Genomic DNA, 19,869 nt, shown 5'->3' on the forward strand with positions numbered 1-19,869 from the left:
AGACTACGGTGAAGGTTTCCGAAGCATTCTGGCACTATACATGACGAAGAATGCATCCATTTTAAACAGTCCACCTCAGCTTTAAAAAGTGAAGAGAATTCAAAGGGAGTGATATGGGAAAACTCAGAAAGACTATGGCGGGGGTGGGGGGCTGGATAAAGCATGTTCACAAATATTTTGCAAAAAAACCCACAAACGAAGCAAAAACATAGGTGAGATGACTCAGCTCATGTCTGCAGTGCTTACATAAAGGTCCTTTGCATATATGGAGTGGAAAAGATAAAAACCATATGTTTACAGCCTTTTGATGTTGCAGAAAATGCTGGCTGTGCCCACGTTGCAATAGTTCTTTGTCTGATATTTCTGGTGTCATTTCTAAAAGTGTGGCATTTCCCTTCCAAAGTTTGCAATCCTGTAATACTATAACACACAAAAAAACTGCATTGCATATCACTTGCAATTGGAAACTTACAACATCATGATGCCAAGCTATCCTGAGACAAGCACTCAGTAACATGTAGTATAAATTTTAATTGAGCATAAACACTTGACAAAAACTCTCTCGAGATATTTCTGGCATATTCCGATTGGCAATGGTGCCCTGATACCATGATTTTAATCCTTCTATAAACTTAACTGATGCCAATATAAATCTTATTACCTAACTTCACTAATCATCTAATTAAAAACATCTAAAAATGTGAAAGACAATAATTTTAATGACCTGGAGCAAACCAATCTGTATCTTCAAAAATAAATAAATAAAACTCCTAAATAAAATGCATCCACTGAAGAGATGCTGCAAACAGAGAACTGCTTTGAATTCAATCTTTGAGTCCTCAGGCAAATTGAAATCCCAGGCTTTTGGGAACTACCAGGCAGTGTTGCAGGAATGCTGGACAAAGACAATAGCTGTGAGATTATCTCAAGATTAAGGGCAAGGTTTTCTTATAAAAACTACTTTTCAATAGTCATTTACTTTGATTGGAATGAGTTTACTAATTCAAACCTTTCCCTCAAAGTCAAACAACATAAACCTTCTAGAGTTCAAACAAATCCTTCTTACCTTCTCTGCTACCTGGGAAATATACTGTCTTACATGATCTTTAAAAGCATTTTTTTTTCTTTTCATTAATCAGTCTAAAAAAATCAAACCATATACAAGTAACGTTGAGCATTTTAAGATTTAATGGCAACTTTGGTGATCAAGTCTTCACAAAGAAAAATAATCGGGCCCACCTTTTAGCTGAAGGAACACAGGCCAGATCAGACTTGACTGCTCCAAGACCCCAATCACATTCTCGCCACATTCAGGATCTAAATGCACAATTCCTAATTACATTCATGATGGGAACTTTACATCAGTTCTAAAAAGCCAAAACCAGAAAGTTAGGGTGAAAGTTGCAATTTGCTGAAGTTTTATGTAAAACTACAGCTACTTAAGTCCTGAATTTATTTTATGAAGACTGACTCCTTTTTACATTGGAGACTTAGGTATGAAAAATCCCATTTTTAAATGTTTTACATGCATTCACATATTTTTATCATTCATTTCAAGATCTTAGTGCTTAAGACAGTGTCTCCACATAGCCAAATACTTTTGAATGATCAAGAAAATGCAGTTCAATGCACTAAATTGAGAGCTTTAATGATTTTAAAAACTGCAAAAGAACACATGTAATATTTTTTGATGCAATGTGAGACTATAAGCAATTAATTTGACACCAGAGAGTTGGTTATATGGAATACACTTCAAAATCAATTTTAAACTGATATTTTCTGATTTTATTAACTATCATTAAGCTATGTACCCATAACCTAATTACTGTACATAATGGAGGATACTTAAAAATACTAAACAGAAGAGAATAAACATTTCTTAAGAAAAAATACACTGGAAGGCAAGTGGTGTTAGATTAATTTTTTAAGATAGCAACTGTGGAATGGAAACAATTTTTAGAATTTATGTAGTTCATAATGATTTGAATATTCTTGGTATATTCAACGTGTGTTAAGACAGTCGTAATTAAACTGGTAGGCAATATTACTTCTAAAATAAAATTAGTAGCAAAGTCTCAGAAAAAAAAGCCATTTAAAAAAATAAAAGAATAAGTATAAATAAAGAATGAAGAAACTAGTATGTAATTACAATTTAAGCCTGGAATATAAAAGATAATAAAAGTAATATATATTACCAAGATGCTACTGAAAGAGAATTATAAACAAAATTTTAATTTTTTACATTTCAATAGTATTCTTTTAGTTAAGTTTACATTATATTCACAAATAGATCCACCTTATATAAATGTCTACATTTGGACACATTTTTGGAGTGTTAGAAATCAGTGTAATGACAGTGGTCATTGGAGAAATGCAAACCAAAACCAAAACGAGATACCATCTCACGCCAGCTACAATGGTGAGCATTAAAAAGTCAGGAAACAGCAGATGCTGGAGAGGATGTGGAGAAATAGGAACGCTTTTACACTGTTGATGAGAGTGTAAATTAGTTCAACCACTGTGGAAGACAATGTGGTGATTCCTCGAGGATGTAGAACTAGAAATACCATTTGACCCAGCAATCCCATTACTGGGTATATACTCAAAGGATTATAAATCATTCTATTATAAAGACACATGCACACGTATGTTTATTGCAGCCCTGTTCACAATAGCAAAGACTTGGAACCAACCCAAATGCCCTTCAATGATAGACTGGATAAAGAAAATGTGGCACATATACACCACGGAATACTGTGAAGCCATAAAAAAAGGATGAGTTCACATCCTTTGCAGGAACGTGGATGAAGCTGGAAACCATCATTCTCAGCAAACTAACACAGGAACAGAAAACCAAACACTGCATGTTCTCACTCACAAGTGGGAGTCAAACAATAAGAACACATGGACACAGGGAGGGGAACAACACACACTGGGGCCTGCAGGAGAGTGGGGGGCTAAGGGAGGGATAGCATTAGGAGAAATGTCTAATGTAGATGACGGGTTGATAGGTGCAGCAAACCACCATGGCTCATGTATACCTATGTAACAAAACTGCAAGTTCTGCACATGTATCCCAGAACTTAAAGTATAATTTAAAAAAAAGAAATCAGTGTAATGACAATACATATACATGCAAAAAGCTTACATTTGCATGTGTTCAAAGAAGAGTTATGTGTATGTACATGTGTGTACAGATATATATGTGTATGTGTGTGTGTGTGTATATATATATATATATATTCAATTTCTCTAATTAATTAAATTGTTATTTTCTTATTTCAGACCTTTTCCTGGATATGGCCAAGTCTGAAGTTTCAAAATACATGTTATTCTGAACCTAATAAAGAAAACATATATCCAACCTTTAATCTAATATATACTAGAATTAGTTTAATTTAAAAAGAGAAACATACTTTTAAATGCCCCCCTTCTTTTTGCCAAACAAAATATTCACAAAGTGACTCAAATGCCATGATTCAATGCAATGATCCATTTTCTGAATTCATACAGACCCCTTTATTAACTATGATTTTTTTGCCAGCTTTTTTTTCCTATGTAGGTAGTGCTGATTTAAAAAAAAAAATTGGAGGGAGTATGTATACTCTCTAATGAAATTACTGATTGTACTTATTTGTGGTTTGCCGACCTTGGTGAAAATATAAATTAAGTCACATAATTAAACACACAAAAAAATCTTAGAATAAACGAAACAATAATTTTTTTTAGAGCTGGAAAATACAACACACCAAATTTGTAAATAAGGACAGTGTCTTTGCAATATTAACCTGTAATCCTGGTTCAGGATTTACCTAATTTTTGTTTTATTTTGCTTTTCTCTTCTGAGAGTCTTAGAAGAATTTTCTGCATGTGTTTTGAGTTTATAGTTTTAAAAAAAGAGAAAATGAGTGCATGCTCCCTCGCATGCCTTCTCTGCACCTAAACAGAGCCATTTACATAGCCCATTGAACACTGTTTAGTAAACAAGGCGGGTACAAGTCCAGAGTGGCTTCTATCTTCCAGTCCTGCCGTCTTTTTAAAAAACAAGGCAGGGGTTCTGTTTTTAGTACACACTTCGGTTCAGTGTTAATCCTGTTTTATGTTGTTCACACCTGCTGCTGACTAGCAGCCTGCTGATGGGCTGGGGCTCACGCTGCTCAGAGAAATCCCACTAAAACTAACGAAGAAGCTGGACAAAAGCTACTGTACAGAGCTGGAAACAAAGCCTGCCCAGGGTCCAGAAGACAAGAGAAACAACCCCACAAAATCTTTCCTGTCATTTGCAGATAAGGCTCCAATGTCCCAAGTTTGCCTGCCACTAAACAAAAAAAGGCAACCAATTGCTTTTTTTGAAAAGTCTGACCACCATTGGGTTATTTACATTCCTGAGCTTTTTATGTCTTTTGGTAAAATTGATGCAAATAGTTTTTAAAAATGCTGTTGTAATCAGGTGTACATGTGAGTCACTACTTTGAGTCCTTAGCAAAAGAATCTGTACTTAAACATAATTATTCATTTGAAATACTCCATGGCTAACCTTTCTACTCATGGAATTTTGCATCCAAAGTGAACAGAGAATAAATATATTCTGCCATTGGTGTCCATGGTGTGGCCAGGACAGTGACTTGTGTACTAAGACTGCTCTCTTCCCACCGCCCCCACCCCGCTGCACTGCATGCGCCTAATAGCAAACATCAAAAGGAATGATTTCTTTTTTGATCTTAGTACCAGCGATAAATCAAATTCAGTGCCACAGACAGGGGGGAAATGCACTACTAAGGGAAAACTCCAAGACTGACAGTGGGACCAGGCAGAGGCATTCGCTCAATCAAGTTTCAGTAAACGATGCCCACCCTTCTCGTTGAAACAAGATGTAAGCTGTCGTGCATTTACCCAGAATGAGAAAAACGTACTGAGTCCTGACGTGACCCTAAGTTAAGAAGCACTTTGTGCTGACATTTCTAGTGGTGGCATCAGAGCCCCTCCCTCCTACCTATCGACCGAGCCAATTTCCTTCCTATCTGGGAGCCAGGTTCTGCCGCAGGTGGGCAAGGAAAGCTCCTATTGGCCACTGCAGGACAGCTCCAATAGGAGCTGCACATCTGGGGGTCAAATGGTGGCTCTGGGATCATTTTATTACAACTCCTGGGGCACCTTTCCTGACTGCAATAGCCAATAAAGCATCCTCGGCTCCACTGCCAACTCGGGGAGTTCTGCAGCTGCCCACACCACAGCGGTGCACAGATTTCATGGAGCACAGTTTTAATACTTCTCTGGGGGAAATACAAAAAGCACTAACTAGCATATTAAGGTTCTCTTAACGAATGAATGTGAGGATGAAATATTTGAGGTGTTGGTATCTTTTCCCCAATTTGTTTTGAAACCCTTTACCCTTAGCAATGTGCTCTTCCTAGGTCACTACTGTGTTCTAATAGGAGGTTTCTCTGGCATTTGTGACATGGTCTTCCTCAGCAGATGCAAATTTTACATGGATTCTCAAAAGAAGCTAAGCAACCGCAGAAGACATATCAGATAAATGTAAACTTTTTCAGTGTGTACAATACTTTATACTTGGCAGCTCTGTAATGATGTTAGAGAAAAAAAGTTGCTAAAAATGATATTATAATATACTTGGTATAATTGTAGATAGAATTCATGTGTCTCCCATCATCTGTGACAGCCCATCAGAAAAATAATTTTAAAAAAGTTGTTGCTTTCAATTTGATTATGGAATATGAATGGTAGAGAAATAAATTCAATTATTGTGTTGAATCATATGAAATTACTGATACTTGACCATTGTTTGACCTACAAAAATGGCAACTTCACATGATTCTTTCTAATATAATTAGAATTCTATTACCTTGCTTTCATTCAAAAAAGTCTGATGTTTCATCAAGGAATTTTATGATTTCAAATTTGACCTTCCTATTCCTTTTTCCCTCAGAAAGCCACATCAATTTTTTAATTAATATCAAAATGAGAGAACTTATCTAAGTTTATTTTAAGACTGGAACCTATTAAAGTCTTGGGTACATAGGCCCTAGTGGTAAACATTTCATGTGAAATGAAGTTTTTTGCATGTAAGAACATTTACGTATTCAATGGAGTGTTTACTATATGGTCCCCCTTTGGTGAAGCCACTTAGCAATGCTATATAACGGAAGAGCAAATGCTTCATTCCAAGTGCCAAGACTGCACAATAATGGAATATGATAGAAAATCTTATCCTTGAGGTCCTTGGCTAAAGGATTTGAGACATGGATAATTTTTTTTCCAGCGACTTTCTAAGTTTACTCAGGACAAAAAGATTTCAGTGTATCAGCAGTAGTGGCGGTTTTCAGATGAAATGATATTTAGTGTTTTGCATGTAGTATTGGCGACGTGATGAATACCCTCAGATGAGAAGGAGAAAAATATAAGCAGCTGTGCGCTTTATCAAGGTGCGCTACCTGCTGCTGCCTCCCAGCACTGCTGCTAAGCTTGCCCACTTCTGAAGAAAGTGAAGACCACCTTATTTTGATTATAGTGCTTTCCTCGGGCAGGAATTTTTATTTCCGTTGAATCTTAAACCATTACATTTCCAGTGATGCATTTTTATGTTTACAATTGACATCTTCATAAAAGAATGAAACCTTTGAGCAACAGCTTAAAAGCATGAAGGTTGCCTGCAGTAAGTACTTAAATTATTTTACACCTAAATGGAGCCCAGTTGTTTTTAGTGAAAATTTAATAAACCTTAAACTGATGACCTTTCTTCCACAGAAAGGTCCCAAGTTGCAAAAACGAACTTTCCAATGAAATATATTTTAAGGAACTAGTACTGAACAAAGGGCTATTTAAAGCTGAACGCTTTGTCAATTTATCAGCTTGTGAACATTCTGTTCCTGAATTCCCCACTGCTGCTGAATGTATAGAACGGTGGTGCCTTGCTTAATCGAATACTATTGATTTGAGTGTGTCACAGTGATCTCATTGAGAGTAATCAATAGTAATCCAAAATCAATCAATTTGCTCTTGCACTATCACTTATCAAATCTGAATACGCCAAATTATTTGTAGGCGTCAAATTACAAAGAAGAGAAAATGGCAGAACTGGGAGAGTTAATGGTTTGTATTGAAGAAAAAAACCAATATCTCTTTTTTCAAAGGGAGGTGCTTTAAGATGGACTATTACTTGGACAAATACATTTATCTTCTCATTAAAGAATCCTAACTTTATAATTAATCTCATTCCTTTCTTGAAAAAAAAAAAAAAAAGATTTCTCCTGTAGGAGTTTGCTCGTTCAGCACAACTCACAGATGCCCTAACTTATTTAACCAGAGCACACTAGCATTTTACAAGTCTGATCAGCTAAGTTTCAAATACCTGTAACCCATCTGCTGAAAAAAGAGGGAGACTGGATTGACATAGGGCATAACTGCATCTTCTAACATCAGAAATGATGTTTAATAGAATTGGAGTGGAGAAAGGAGTACTTAATTTCTCCAGAGAATGTACAGCAGAGACGCACCTGCTTATCAAAGAAGCTGCTGTTGATGCTGAAGTTTCTTTTATCAACATATTCACCTGTAATTTCATCAAGGTAATAAATCCCTCTATTCATAACAGCACACTCAAAAGCACCCCTCCTATTTAACTTGAATGAAAAAAGGCACAGAGTGTCTAAAACATTTACTTTTGCTAATGTAACAGTGTTGGCATTTTACTTCATTCCTGATAAGCTGGTGCCAGTAGAAGTGATTATTCTTTTCTTATTCAAAGCCTATCAGCATTTCGAAAAGCTCTCTCAGTCTTATCAGGTGTATGAACAGCACAGTTAACTGAAAACAGTTTGTACTGCTCCTCTCTCTTTCTGCCAAGCTATCTGATAAACCCCCAACTAACTAACTGTATTTACACACAATCAAACATAAGTTGTATCTTCTATGCACTATAGCCAGATTCCAGTTTACCATAGGTTTTTCTGCTGTAACATTAACTTAGCAAAAATGTCAGCCTCCAGTATCCCAAACTGACAACAATCAAGAAAACACTATAAAAGCACTCAACTAGAATGCACTACAAACAGAAACAAAAAGAAAAACAAATATAAAAAGTTGAAGGCAATCTCTTTGGAATTCAGAGGGAAAATCAGGTGTACTCTGTATGCAAATATGGGTGAATATCATGCACTTACCTTTTACCAAAGTAAATGACCCTTTAATAAAACAGATGAATAGAAACAGAAATTGTAAAGGAAAATACTGCCGGGATAGAGGAAGGGAAGGTGTTTAGGAAAGTGTTTTAGAACTTAGCAGGCATTCCCCCCACACTTCAGGTTATCTCAATGTGGCAGCAGAGAAGTTCTATAATGTAAGCAAAGGAAGACAATAGACAATATCACCGAACTTACCCCAGAAACTGAAGACAAGATAGAAAGCAAGGCTGTCACATATGGTGACCACATTCTCAGGATAGATTTTCCAATCATTAAAACCCTCATAAATGCTCTAGACATTAAAGTTTTGTTCACTATAAGAAAATAAAGAAATAAAAAAATACAATTTGAGTTTTTAACCTCTTATTATTTGTCTTATTCTTCAGACTTAACCAACTGAATAGTTCAATATAAAGACATGAAAAAAGAATCATCATTCACATTAATGTAAATAGATGATCTGTTCTCCATTTCTATCTATTAAAAAATGCTTAAACTAGGTCATGGCTCATACGAATTGAAAGACACACCTAATCATTTACGGGTAGTACTTTGGAGCATGAAAGATAACAATGACATTTCTAGAGCATAAGAGAAATCGGAAATCTACTTGAATGACTGAGTAACAACAAATTCCTGACCCTAGGAAAGAATCTCTGCCTGAGCTTCTGTGCATAAATTGTCCATTTGTTCCTCACCTCCCTTTGCTGAATGACTACGAGAGAACAGAAAAAGGCGGCCACATGCTCCCACCTGAGCCCAACTCCTGATGCTGTCTAGACTCCAAGAACAGAATGAGCCTTCCTTTAGATGTGTAGAGCAATAAGATGAATTAGCCAAGTGTGTAGTTCAGTACAATTCAGCTGATAGTTGCTTTTCCATCTGTGACACTATGATCCCATGACTGATGAGGCAGGTCTCATTCAAGTCTATGGATAAAAGGGATGTTTCCGTCATTTCATAGGACCCAGCACCAACTGTATACAGTCACTTTCTCATAGGAAAAAGACATGGTTCTCACCAACCATATACATCTTTCCCTTTCTTTGGTCATGAACAGTTGGTTACGGGTATGATATTCCTCCTCAAAATATCTGATCTGTTTTAATGGATTAATGGCTGAAAAGAAATTAAAAATTATCAGAATATTCTTTTATTTATGTGAAAATGAATACAATTTAACATGCCCATCTTACATTTTTGGAGAAGTTAATGTACTAGGATAATTTGGAATTATGGAGGGCAAAGGGCAATCAATTGAACAACCTCACAGTTTATTTTTTTTCTCTTTAATGAGTACCTCAGTCTATAATTTTTTATATGACCTGTTATTTTGGTTAATTTTGGATGCAGTTCTGGATATATGACTAATATGCATTTACTATTATTTTCAAAGCAACATAAGTTCTTATAAATATTGTTACATAATAACTGCCTTGAAAAGTATCCTTTTAAGATATTTTAACTCACATTGTGAGTATGAAAAAAATACATATTTCTTTAATGAATCCTTTGTTCAAATTCTCAAAAGCCATGAAAAATGAGTAAAATCTTTCTAGAGTAGATGAAAAAGGAATTATCATTTACAAAGGTATTGTTGTGATCATGGAAAAAAAGAATTTAGTGTGCTTCTGCCTATTTTCTGTACATAAGTTCTTAATTTATATTTTAATTTTCTTTTGTTTTTGCATATTGAATATGCCATACAAAAAGAAAGCGTAAGATTTTTTTGTTTTCCAGAAAACATATGCAAAGTGCAACAAAAAGAGGTGTCCCCTGATAAAGGTGGATTGTCCGTGTTCCTTTGGATTCTCCACTTCTTCAAGTTTTTATTTACTTCATAAATAAGAGCCACTGAGGTTCACCACTTCAGAGACTTTTGTCTTTCTAAACCTATTTTACTTTCAAGGTAGTAGAAAAATTTGAATGAACCTAATTTATTTTTTTCTTGGAAACTTATTGCTATCTATGCTATCTGTATTCCTACAGTTCATTTTTAAAGATAAGTAAGCAAGCAAGCTGTTTTTTCATTACATTTATACTAGCCATCAATCTGATATGAGAATTTATTGGTAGCTTCCCTTTTATTTAGTACCATCTTAGCCAACTGTTTGCAGAAAAGGTGTATAATGAAGCAAAGTTAAATTGACATGTCTGTGATATGCCTGACAGCCCTCAGTATGCCCAATATTAATTTGTTTTCTTTGGCTAGGTAAGTCCTGCCAAAGCATATTACACATAATGTGTACTTCCAACCAAAATGATGAAAAGTATATATGAAATTTTGTTTCACTCAAAGAAAAATGAGAAGTCACAGAGGAATATATATGACAAAGACTGTTTTTTATAATTAAAATATAAATGTACTTTTCAGTTCTTCTTTTAGAATTTAATCTAATCTGAAGTAGGCTCCCTGTAAGTTTTGGCAATTTAATAGGTATTTAAAATTTTTTAAATGCCAAAACCAAGTGTTTTCCTTTTCTATATTGTTTGAAAGAATTCCATATAGCCATAGGTTGTATTTCTAATTGTTAGTGTTGCGTGGTTTATAGCTACATTCAAATGCACATATAGATCTTTGCCAGTATACTGAAATGGACTTTAACTGACCAGAAGGAAGCCAATTTCTTTAAAACTGTACCTTTTCTTTCATTGTTTTGCCTCAGTAAGTTACCTTCCAAGTATACATGCATTGTCATAAATTAAAATGACATATCATTTGAAGAAATCAAAACATCAAAAGCAAGTTTCCCTCAAACATTTAAAATTATTTTTAAACATTATAAGGGGAAATTTGTGTATATACACACATATATACAACACTCAATAAATCTAAACTCTCTCAATTCAATAGTTTTGGATAATTGAGTGGAAGATACTTTTGGAAAATCCTGGATAATTGATTAGAAAACACATTTGGAAAATACTGAGAAATATTGTCCAAATCATAGGACAAGAAACATGTGTCACTTCTGGAAAGAAAAAGTAGAGTGGAGAGATGTGTGTGCTAAAACTCTGAATGGAAATTATTTTATTAGCTTAGGTTTCCTAGACCTTACAAAGTACAAGACTAAAAATGAACTTGAAACAAGAATAAAAGGCCAGGTAAATCCTTCAAAAGGCTGTCATTTCCCACCCTCAGATAATAAAGGAGCTAACTTTGATCTGATAGATTGGCATAAAGAAGCGGTTAGCAGAATTTTTTTAAAAACACAATAGCAGTAAATTTGTTAAAATGTTATGCAAATAAATAAAGGTAGGCAATGAATCTAGGAATTTTAAAAAGAACATGAATTAGAACAAGAATTAGAATAGAAAAAGCAATTGCATAAGTGCTTTCTCTCAACAGTCATTTACTAAGTAAATTCACAGACTTCTAAACTTACCTCTTAGAATAAAATTAAATAATTCTGAAATCTATAATGTACTTTATAGAAATATAATACTTATAGTTTTATATATTTGCTTTTAGAAAAAGAGCAAATGATATGTTTATGTAGTACAGATAAAGGAAATTCATATTTTGCATTTGTTTGAAAGCTATCATGCTTTACATTAAGATGTATTTGTCAGGCCCAATTGTGTAAGAAAAGAATGTAGCCAAGAGCTAATTCAAAATTGTTTCTTGGATATGGGCCCAAACCATTAAATTATACATTTAATATCAGTAGTTTCTTTCCTATTTTACAAATTATTTATGATTTCCAGATACTGAATACATGAATAACAATAATGTGAAAATTCTAAAATCAGAAACAAATTGACTTACTAGGTTACCTGTTACCTGTCTAACACACAGTAGTTAAGTAAACTCAGATTAAAATCAGATCTGTAAATACCTGAAATACCAATTCCAGGTTAAAATCATGCCTGGCAAATTTAACTGGCAACTAACTGATTAGAATAATACTTGAGATCTACTTTATTATATAAATGTACATGAATACTTTTAGCAGCATACCTATAATCTACGTATACATTACCTCTTCCCACATACATGCATATTTCACATGCATACTATACATGCACACAAATATACTCCTGGGTATCCTATCGACTGCTTTGAGTTTTAAAGTACCATGTGTGTATTTATTTATTAATAATAGTATAGTTCATGTATATCCACATATACATGGCTATCAAAAAAATCAATGACAAAAACATACAAAATGCAATGGAAAGATTGTCAAGCAGCAGAGATGCTTGGTGTCATCCTTGCACTATCAAATATACACATAAGTATGATTGGAGAAAGAGAGGCTAAATATCTCACTGTCAGAGAATGTAGAGAACTGCAATTCATTCTATCTGTTGTGCTTTAGGACATGACAATTTAATACAATGCCAGTGGATGTAAAAGAGATAAAAATGGAACAAACTGGGCCAGTGTAATCAAAGATTTTCTCCAGAGAGCTGGCTAGGGCCGGAGCTCATACGCACTTATAATAGATCAACATTGTATTGTTTCTCTCTTCCATGAATTTGCTATGAAGCAAAATTCAGAGCAAAGCTTATCTGCTGCAATGACTCTAAAGTTCTACTGAGATCCCTCAGATCCTCTCCTCTTATTTCTAAAAGCTGGATAAGTGATGCTAAAAAGTTTATTTGATATTAATTGGTTTAATAGAAATCATTGCTATTAATTGCCATTTGTATGAAAAAGTATCTCTCATCAGCATATAATTTATTTTATAAAATAATACAAAGCAAAACCTTCAGTGCTTAACATCACTTTACAAGTAAGACAGAGAAATATTTTCTTTAGTCATTGAGCTAAAACAAATGTTGAGGAATTTTTCGTAAGTGATACGGACTTGAGATTGGGCATTATGCCTACCTTCCAAAAGAATGGCTTCTTCTTTGTCTGTAATTCTTGCAGGAGTGAGGTATTGCAAAAGTATTGTTAAATAGAATCATAGAGAAGTTAGCTTCCTTCTTTGATGAATAGCACCAGGTATCTAAAATTAATTGCAAAAGTATGGCCCGGCTAATGAGATGGTCCTTATCTTTTCTCAGCCAGGAAGCACAAGTATTTTTCTGCTGGCTCAATATTTTACAAAAATGCCTGAAGTGTTATTAACTAAGTAAGAAAAAAACTGATTAAAATACCTCAAAGATATAAATTGTTATAAATTGTAAGATCTGAAAAATTTAGAGTTAAAGCTGATTTCCTGCATTATTTTTAAACCTTCTTTTCTTTTCTTTTTTCACTTTAAAAAGAACAACAACAAAAAAATCTTTCCTCCTGCTTCTATTAGCATTTTTAAAAGCTGAGTTAATTATTATTCTTTATAAAATGACCAATATATATTACAGGTCAGATTAAATCAAAGAAATATATCAAATGCCGTCAATTTAGGGAAAAAAACAGAACAATGATACCTTATTTGGGGAAAACACTAGAAAAATGATCATCCATGCAAGAGAATTAATGGATATCCACAAGGGCTTTGCTAATAACATGGGTTAATTACCGCTGCAACACACTAGGCTCAGTAAATAAAGCAGCAGTGCCATAAACACATTAAGATGAGAAACCATCACTGTAAGAAGAAATAGCCAACACCATCACCCTTAGCTCTGCCCAGGAAATGAAAGCTGTTTCTTAGTCCTTTCTATAAAAAAGGGATTTTTAAACTTACCACCAAATGTGTATAGGGTAATACATAAATACCCTGACACAAAGGGCTAGTGGAACATGGGGTACCCATCATTTATCCACCACTCCCATTCAATATATATTTCATTAACTCAGGAACAGTTGTTTTTTTGTTGTTTACTTCAAGGAGAAAATCATATGTTACATAATACTAGTCATCTGGCCATTTCAACTATATATAGTTTGGAACATGTACAATGATTACTTAATTTTTAGGAAAATAGAATTAATCCGCTCACTTTAGTAATGTAATGGGCAAGGTTACAAAACTACAGCTCAAGAATGCTCACAACTAATTGCAGCTGATTGTCACTTCAAGCAGTTTACAGAGAAATCATCTGAAAACTCCACCAACACCACATACCTTTAAGGCTGCAGGTGTTTTCAAGATTGTAGGGAAAAAAAATAAAAAACAAAACATGAAGAAAAGTCATGTGAGCTCCAAGTCTAGAGTTTAAGTATTCTTACTTGAAAAAATAAACTTAAAGTGTCTGTTCAGAGTTCTCAAATAATATCACATCTAAAGTGACTTGGCCAAGCTCTTATCATTCCCTAAAAAAAAGGCATCCCCTCTGATCTCGGCTTTTTTGTTGTTGTTACTGTTACTGTATAAATTTTTTCTTTCTGCCTATTTTATCACCTATAATTTGACATTATGGAATTACTTTGGGATTGTCTTGTTTTTTAATTAGTATAGATTTTAAAAAGAAGAGATGAGAAAAAGAAAAAACATGAAAACCCTGAAACAGAAAGAGTGAAACATACAAAATAAAACTTGTGTAGCTCCAAACACGAATCTTAAAACACGAAACTTAAATTTTCAATGTCTGGACTTCAGTGATCAGGCTGAAATTTACTAAACTGTTCCCTCCTCGCCTTGTCTGTTTTGGAGTGTTTCAGTTGCCTTTCCTTCTTCCAACAGCTGTGACAACTGTTAAAACAGTCAGTAAAATTAAGTCCGCTCTATAATCCTGTAGTCAATGTTACATTTTAATCAGAGGTTGAAAGGGATTCATGTGATGAGCACACTCATTTAGAATGATTAGACTGACACATATGTCAAAATGAGCAGATATATTATTTTCATCTATTTATGCTATCAGCTATTACTGCTATTAAATGTGAAACAAGCTTTCAAGTATTATGTTCTTTAATGTGCTGGCACATTTCCTAAAATAAAAAAATACATAGTTAGAGGTTAACATTTTAAGCTCTCTTAATGGTGGTCAATAAATGGTATGAATCTTTTTAACAGCCTCCAAAGCAGAAACTGTCCAATATTTGCCCCTAAAACTGTATAACTCTGGTTTCATTTCTGTGTATACACACACGTGATGGGGTTTAACCCGGTACAATTACTATGAATATTAATAGCATGTATAAATTCTGTGGTTTATTAATTGAGACAGAGAGGCAGATGCGTTGCTTAGCGTTAGATCTTTCTGTCTGTCCAGTGAACCACGTAACCATCAGAACTGCATCCAGACAATAAATCTGTATTTTTTAAAGATGACTTTTAATTGAGCCCAAAAGAAAGCTAGTTTGAATCTTGCGCCAAAGCCAAAAGGACATGTGCCTTGACTTCATTTAAATGCATCTGCTTTAAGAGGCTTATCTAAACGAATTATTCAAATTAGCTATAAGAAGTTAAATTCAAGGAAACTACTTCAAAAAGAAGCCTCTGGGGGATTTTTAAAGTTTGTTTTCTTTATTTATTTACAAGAGAAAGTTCAGAATCTGGGCGTGCTTGGATAAGACATTCTTCCTGACACGAAGACGTCTTAAACTCTCCAATTCTACAGCCCGAAGTACACTAACCTTCAAACTACACTTGAGCGGGCAGTCTTACCTTTGTTTATTTTTCATTTTTATTTTTACACATCTTAAGGTTGTTTCTTCCCTTGAGTGTTTCAAACTGATGCAAGCACAGCCTTATAATCTTTCAGTTCCTCCTAAATCCATCTCTTGGCTAATATTCCCTGTGTGAGCATGGATGTGGGTGGATGTGCATGTGTGAGCGTGCATACACACACACACTCACACTCACGCTCAAACATACAGGAGCAGCCACTGAGACTGCAAGTCACTTTTCATCTCTTACTTAATTACAAAGCAATGCAATATGCAGTCACTAAGGACAGCTAGTGGACATCTACCTATAATGCACTACCTCATCTTCTAGAGTTTGATATTTTCTTCACAATCTATAGAGAGAAATGTTTGCCAAGGGCACTCTTTTCAGAATTATAACAGTTGGTATTACTGTAATGTGAAAGCAAAGCAATATAACTGACTCAACAGAAAGGGAGATAAACCAGTGACAGCTCTCGTGATATACTAACATTTTATCTTAACAGTAGGTTGAAATTAAGTTTATCACCTACTCATTTACACAAAAATGCCTAACTTACTTCTCGTACCCCCTACTCACTCCCCCCCCTTTAGTAATCTAAATATATATTTCCATGTGCATAAAGATATCCATAAATACTAATTAAACTGCTTGTAAGAACGAAAGTACTTTTCTATATTTTCTGGACACAACAAACGAGACAAATCCACACTCTGAGCAGTATTTAAGGGGAAAATTTTAAAGTCACTACTGTTTCTTCTTTAGTTTTTTTTCCCCCCTTAAATATTTATAATGTGTGAAAATCTCATGTTACTTAATGGACTGATTTGTCAGTTAAGTGCTGACTTAACGCTAACCATGCAAATAACATTATTCTAGCTCAGAATTGCATAGGGCTAGCTTTTAAATTGTTCTCTGAAGGAGAATTAGTAAATGTGCAATTTTGCCTCTAACTCTGCGCGGTAAGAAATGACAAGGAGCTGAAAATATCTGTCAAACTGCAAATACATAAGAGGCCCTCAATAGTATAAATCATTTTGAATATTGTATTTTAAAACATCTTTCCTTGGGAAAATGGGTCCTAGTAAAAGATGCATTTTAACAGTTCACTAAGCATTTGTGCCAAGTGCCTATTCTTAGCACCTGAATAAGAAGTGACTGTCACACAGCTGTTTTACTGACAGTCACTGAGCTTTGCCTCAAAGGTAACATTGTAGTCAGAGAACAATTCTCGACTTACTGAATTAGGAGATCACCCTCAACACAAAAGACACAAGACAGACACAAACAAGCAGTCGTGCACACAAAATACCCAGGGCATTACCTGAATCAGTGTGTAAAGATATAGTCTGTCCGCCCCCACCCCCGCACCCCCACGACGAGTTTAAAAAGGAAAGAAAAAAGGTACCTACTCTTCCTCGTAGTGCAGGGAAAAAGATTCAGGAAGGCAAAGTTCTACCGAATCCATGTGCGACCGGCAACCATTATTTGTGCACCCCAGCTATAAATCAAAGTTTCCTTGACAGAGCACAGTGCAATTAACACAAATGTTCTCCTAGTGACAAGCCTATAGGCACAGCCAGTTGGGACCAAAGCTCTCACACTCTCCTAATCAAGGACTTAAAGCCCCGATTGGAGCTTATTAATATGAAGTAGGGCTTTACATATGCAGTCCCACCGGCCCAGCCGCGCAGCCGATTGGGGGGCCTCTGCCCAATCAGGAGGGAGGCGACGGGAGGCTGCACGGAGCGAGAGGAGCCAGGCAGGTAGGCAGGGTGCAGAGAGCCGAAGGGGGCTGGAAACTGAGAGTGGGCAGAGAAAAAGGGAGCGGAGAAGGGAGCGATTGAAACGCTCCCAATACACACTCTCGGGTTTGATTTTTTTTCCTCCCTTCTCTCTCTTTCTTTTTTTTTTCTTCTGGGAAGCTACAAAAGAAACATAACTAACTTAACTCTCTAAGCACTGGAGGGATTTGCCTTTGATTTCTAACCTAAGATCTCTTTTGCCTTGAAAAGGAGAACTCACGCAGACTCTCAGTTAATTTGGGAAAGGATTCTGCGGAAGGTAGAGAATTAAGTTTGTCCTGCCGTTGTCTGTGTTTTTATTACACCGGGGGCCGCGGCTTATTTGGTGCTGTACTTTCTCATGTATTCCTAATCATGTCTTTTCCTGTTTTCCTGATGTATGCTGGGCATTAAAAATAATAATAATAAAGGCATTCTTCTAAATTGTTTGAGCATGTGAACTGGGATCGTCATCTCTGAGGTGGAATGCAGTTTTACACAACTACAGAAGAGGAGATAGTGACAATACAATTTGAAAGAATGCCTAAGTAAATTATATGTGTAAACCTTTCTATACCTGCGACTGTCTCTTTACATATAGATACAACGCATAGCTTTTCAAAACAACGGTAAACAGCCGCAGGACAAATTGGCTTCTTCAGTTTTAGGGGTGGGGAGTCTGAGGGCTGTGGGGGTAAATAGCGAATTAAATCTCTCTCGATGCATTTTGACAAAATAAAGACAGCATTTTTTTTTTTTTTTGTAGGGAGAGCATTACTAAACAGTGCACTAAAAGTATTCTTAATTATATGTATATATTTCAATACAAGCTTCCAAACTAGGAGGCATATAATTTTATATATGATTTTACCCAAAACATCCTGCTTTCAAATAAAACACAGTGTACACATTTGTTTCTATACATAAGGCACCCTATATGCTTTAAAAAAATCAACCCAGAAACATTTTATAAACCATCACACAGTCTGGTCACTATAAGAACTAGTTTCAAACAGATAATAATTTACAAAACTAAGAATTCTCAATCAAAAGTGTTCAAAAAAATAAAAATAAAAGGAGGATATAAGAGGACAAGTGTGTTTTTTCCTCCTTCAATTGTGTACACCGTGTCTTTAATTTCCATATAACAAAGAGTTTGCTTAGGTCCTATTTTAATCTACAGGATTTTTTTATACTAGCAAATGTACATTGGAATAGATACCAGCTATTTATGGCAAAGAGATAACTGCTACCTTATGGAGAGTGAAAAACCCACAATTTTGATATAATTCAGCTCTACTGCTTATCAACCTTTTACATCTTAAGTCCTACATGATAGAAATAGTATAATCTTTGAGATCAAAATAAATTAGTTCAGATATTCATCGTATGTTAAATTCACTAAATTAGGACTCAACTCCCTTAACCCTCTCAAATTTTCTAGGTCTTTAAAAAACCAAAACACTAAAATAGAGCAGCCACATTAAAATTCAGAATATAAAAATGACAGACATGATTTGGTCCCCCCACAGAAGAAAGCAATTTCACTGCCTTGTATTTAGCTATATCTAAGATATAGGCCTAATTCCTTTTATTTGTGTTCTAAATGCATACAAAGTTTCTAGATCAGAACTCACATAGCAAAAACTGTGCCTCAGAATACTGTATAAAAGCAGGTAGTAAAAGCTTAATTACCAGTAGCATTATGCTGTCTATATTGTTAAATGTGAACTCTGCAATTAAGATGTAAATTTGGTTGTGAGCAGTGAATTAAAAGAGCTTTGAGATGTAGAAGAAAATCCAAGCATTCTGCAGACACTGAGAGAAAAAAAAAATTGTCTATTCAATCTAAAATAAGACACGTAATCATTTTACAATTAAAAAATAAATAAAACAGGCATTTTGCAAAAGAAACATGATTTTTCTAAAATACACTCAAAGAAATATGGAAGCTAATACTGCATTACAAAGACAGAAAAACATCCTTTGATTCATATGATTACTATCGTGATTTCTGAATAAACTAAAATTCTCAGGGTAATTAATAGATTCAATTGCACATACTTTAAAAAAGATACACACACACACAAAAAAGAAAGAAACTTTCCTTCTTGGTTTGGCTATGGATATTTCTTTAAAAAATATAAATTATTTAATGTACTCAATGCATCTTAATGTACTCAAAGAATGCATTCCGATTTTGCACCGGTGCAGAATCCTGTACTGTGTTCAGTTTCTTTACATTATGCTGTGACAGAACCTCTTTATTACTCCTTTGAAATGGCTTTTTAAAGACAAGATTTGTAGTGTATTTACCGGTGGATCTCAAGTCACCAAATGTCGTACAAGTGATCTTTAATTTCCCATCATTTT

General features: G+C 34.8%; 1 protein-coding gene across 54 annotated transcripts in view; it reads right to left on the minus strand.

Annotated features, from left to right (window-relative positions):
• Nucleotides 1-19,869, minus strand: part of ESRRG (estrogen related receptor gamma) — a 634,457-nt gene that overhangs the window by 202,874 nt on the left and 411,714 nt on the right. For 4 of the 54 annotated variants that reach the window (XM_047449371.1, XM_047449351.1, XM_047449389.1 and 1 more), the window contains 3 exons: nucleotides 8,955-9,130; nucleotides 8,397-8,515; nucleotides 1,240-1,367 (listed from right to left, as the gene is read on the minus strand). The exons of 34 other annotated variants lie outside the window; for them this stretch is intronic. In XM_047449371.1, the coding sequence (XP_047305327.1) occupies nucleotides 1,240-1,310 (71 nt within the window). In that variant the 5' untranslated portion in view covers nucleotides 1,311-1,367; nucleotides 8,397-8,515; nucleotides 8,955-9,130. Of the gene's footprint in view, nucleotides 1-1,239; nucleotides 1,368-8,396; nucleotides 8,516-8,954; nucleotides 9,131-17,120; nucleotides 17,311-19,869 lie in introns of those variants that run through there. 16 more of the 54 variants (XM_047449385.1, XM_011509271.3, XM_047449390.1 and 13 more) reach the window with 11 other exon arrangements.

This window comes from Homo sapiens, chromosome 1, assembly GCF_000001405.40.
Source record: "Homo sapiens chromosome 1, GRCh38.p14 Primary Assembly".
Lineage (NCBI taxonomy): Eukaryota > Metazoa > Chordata > Mammalia > Primates > Hominidae > Homo > Homo sapiens.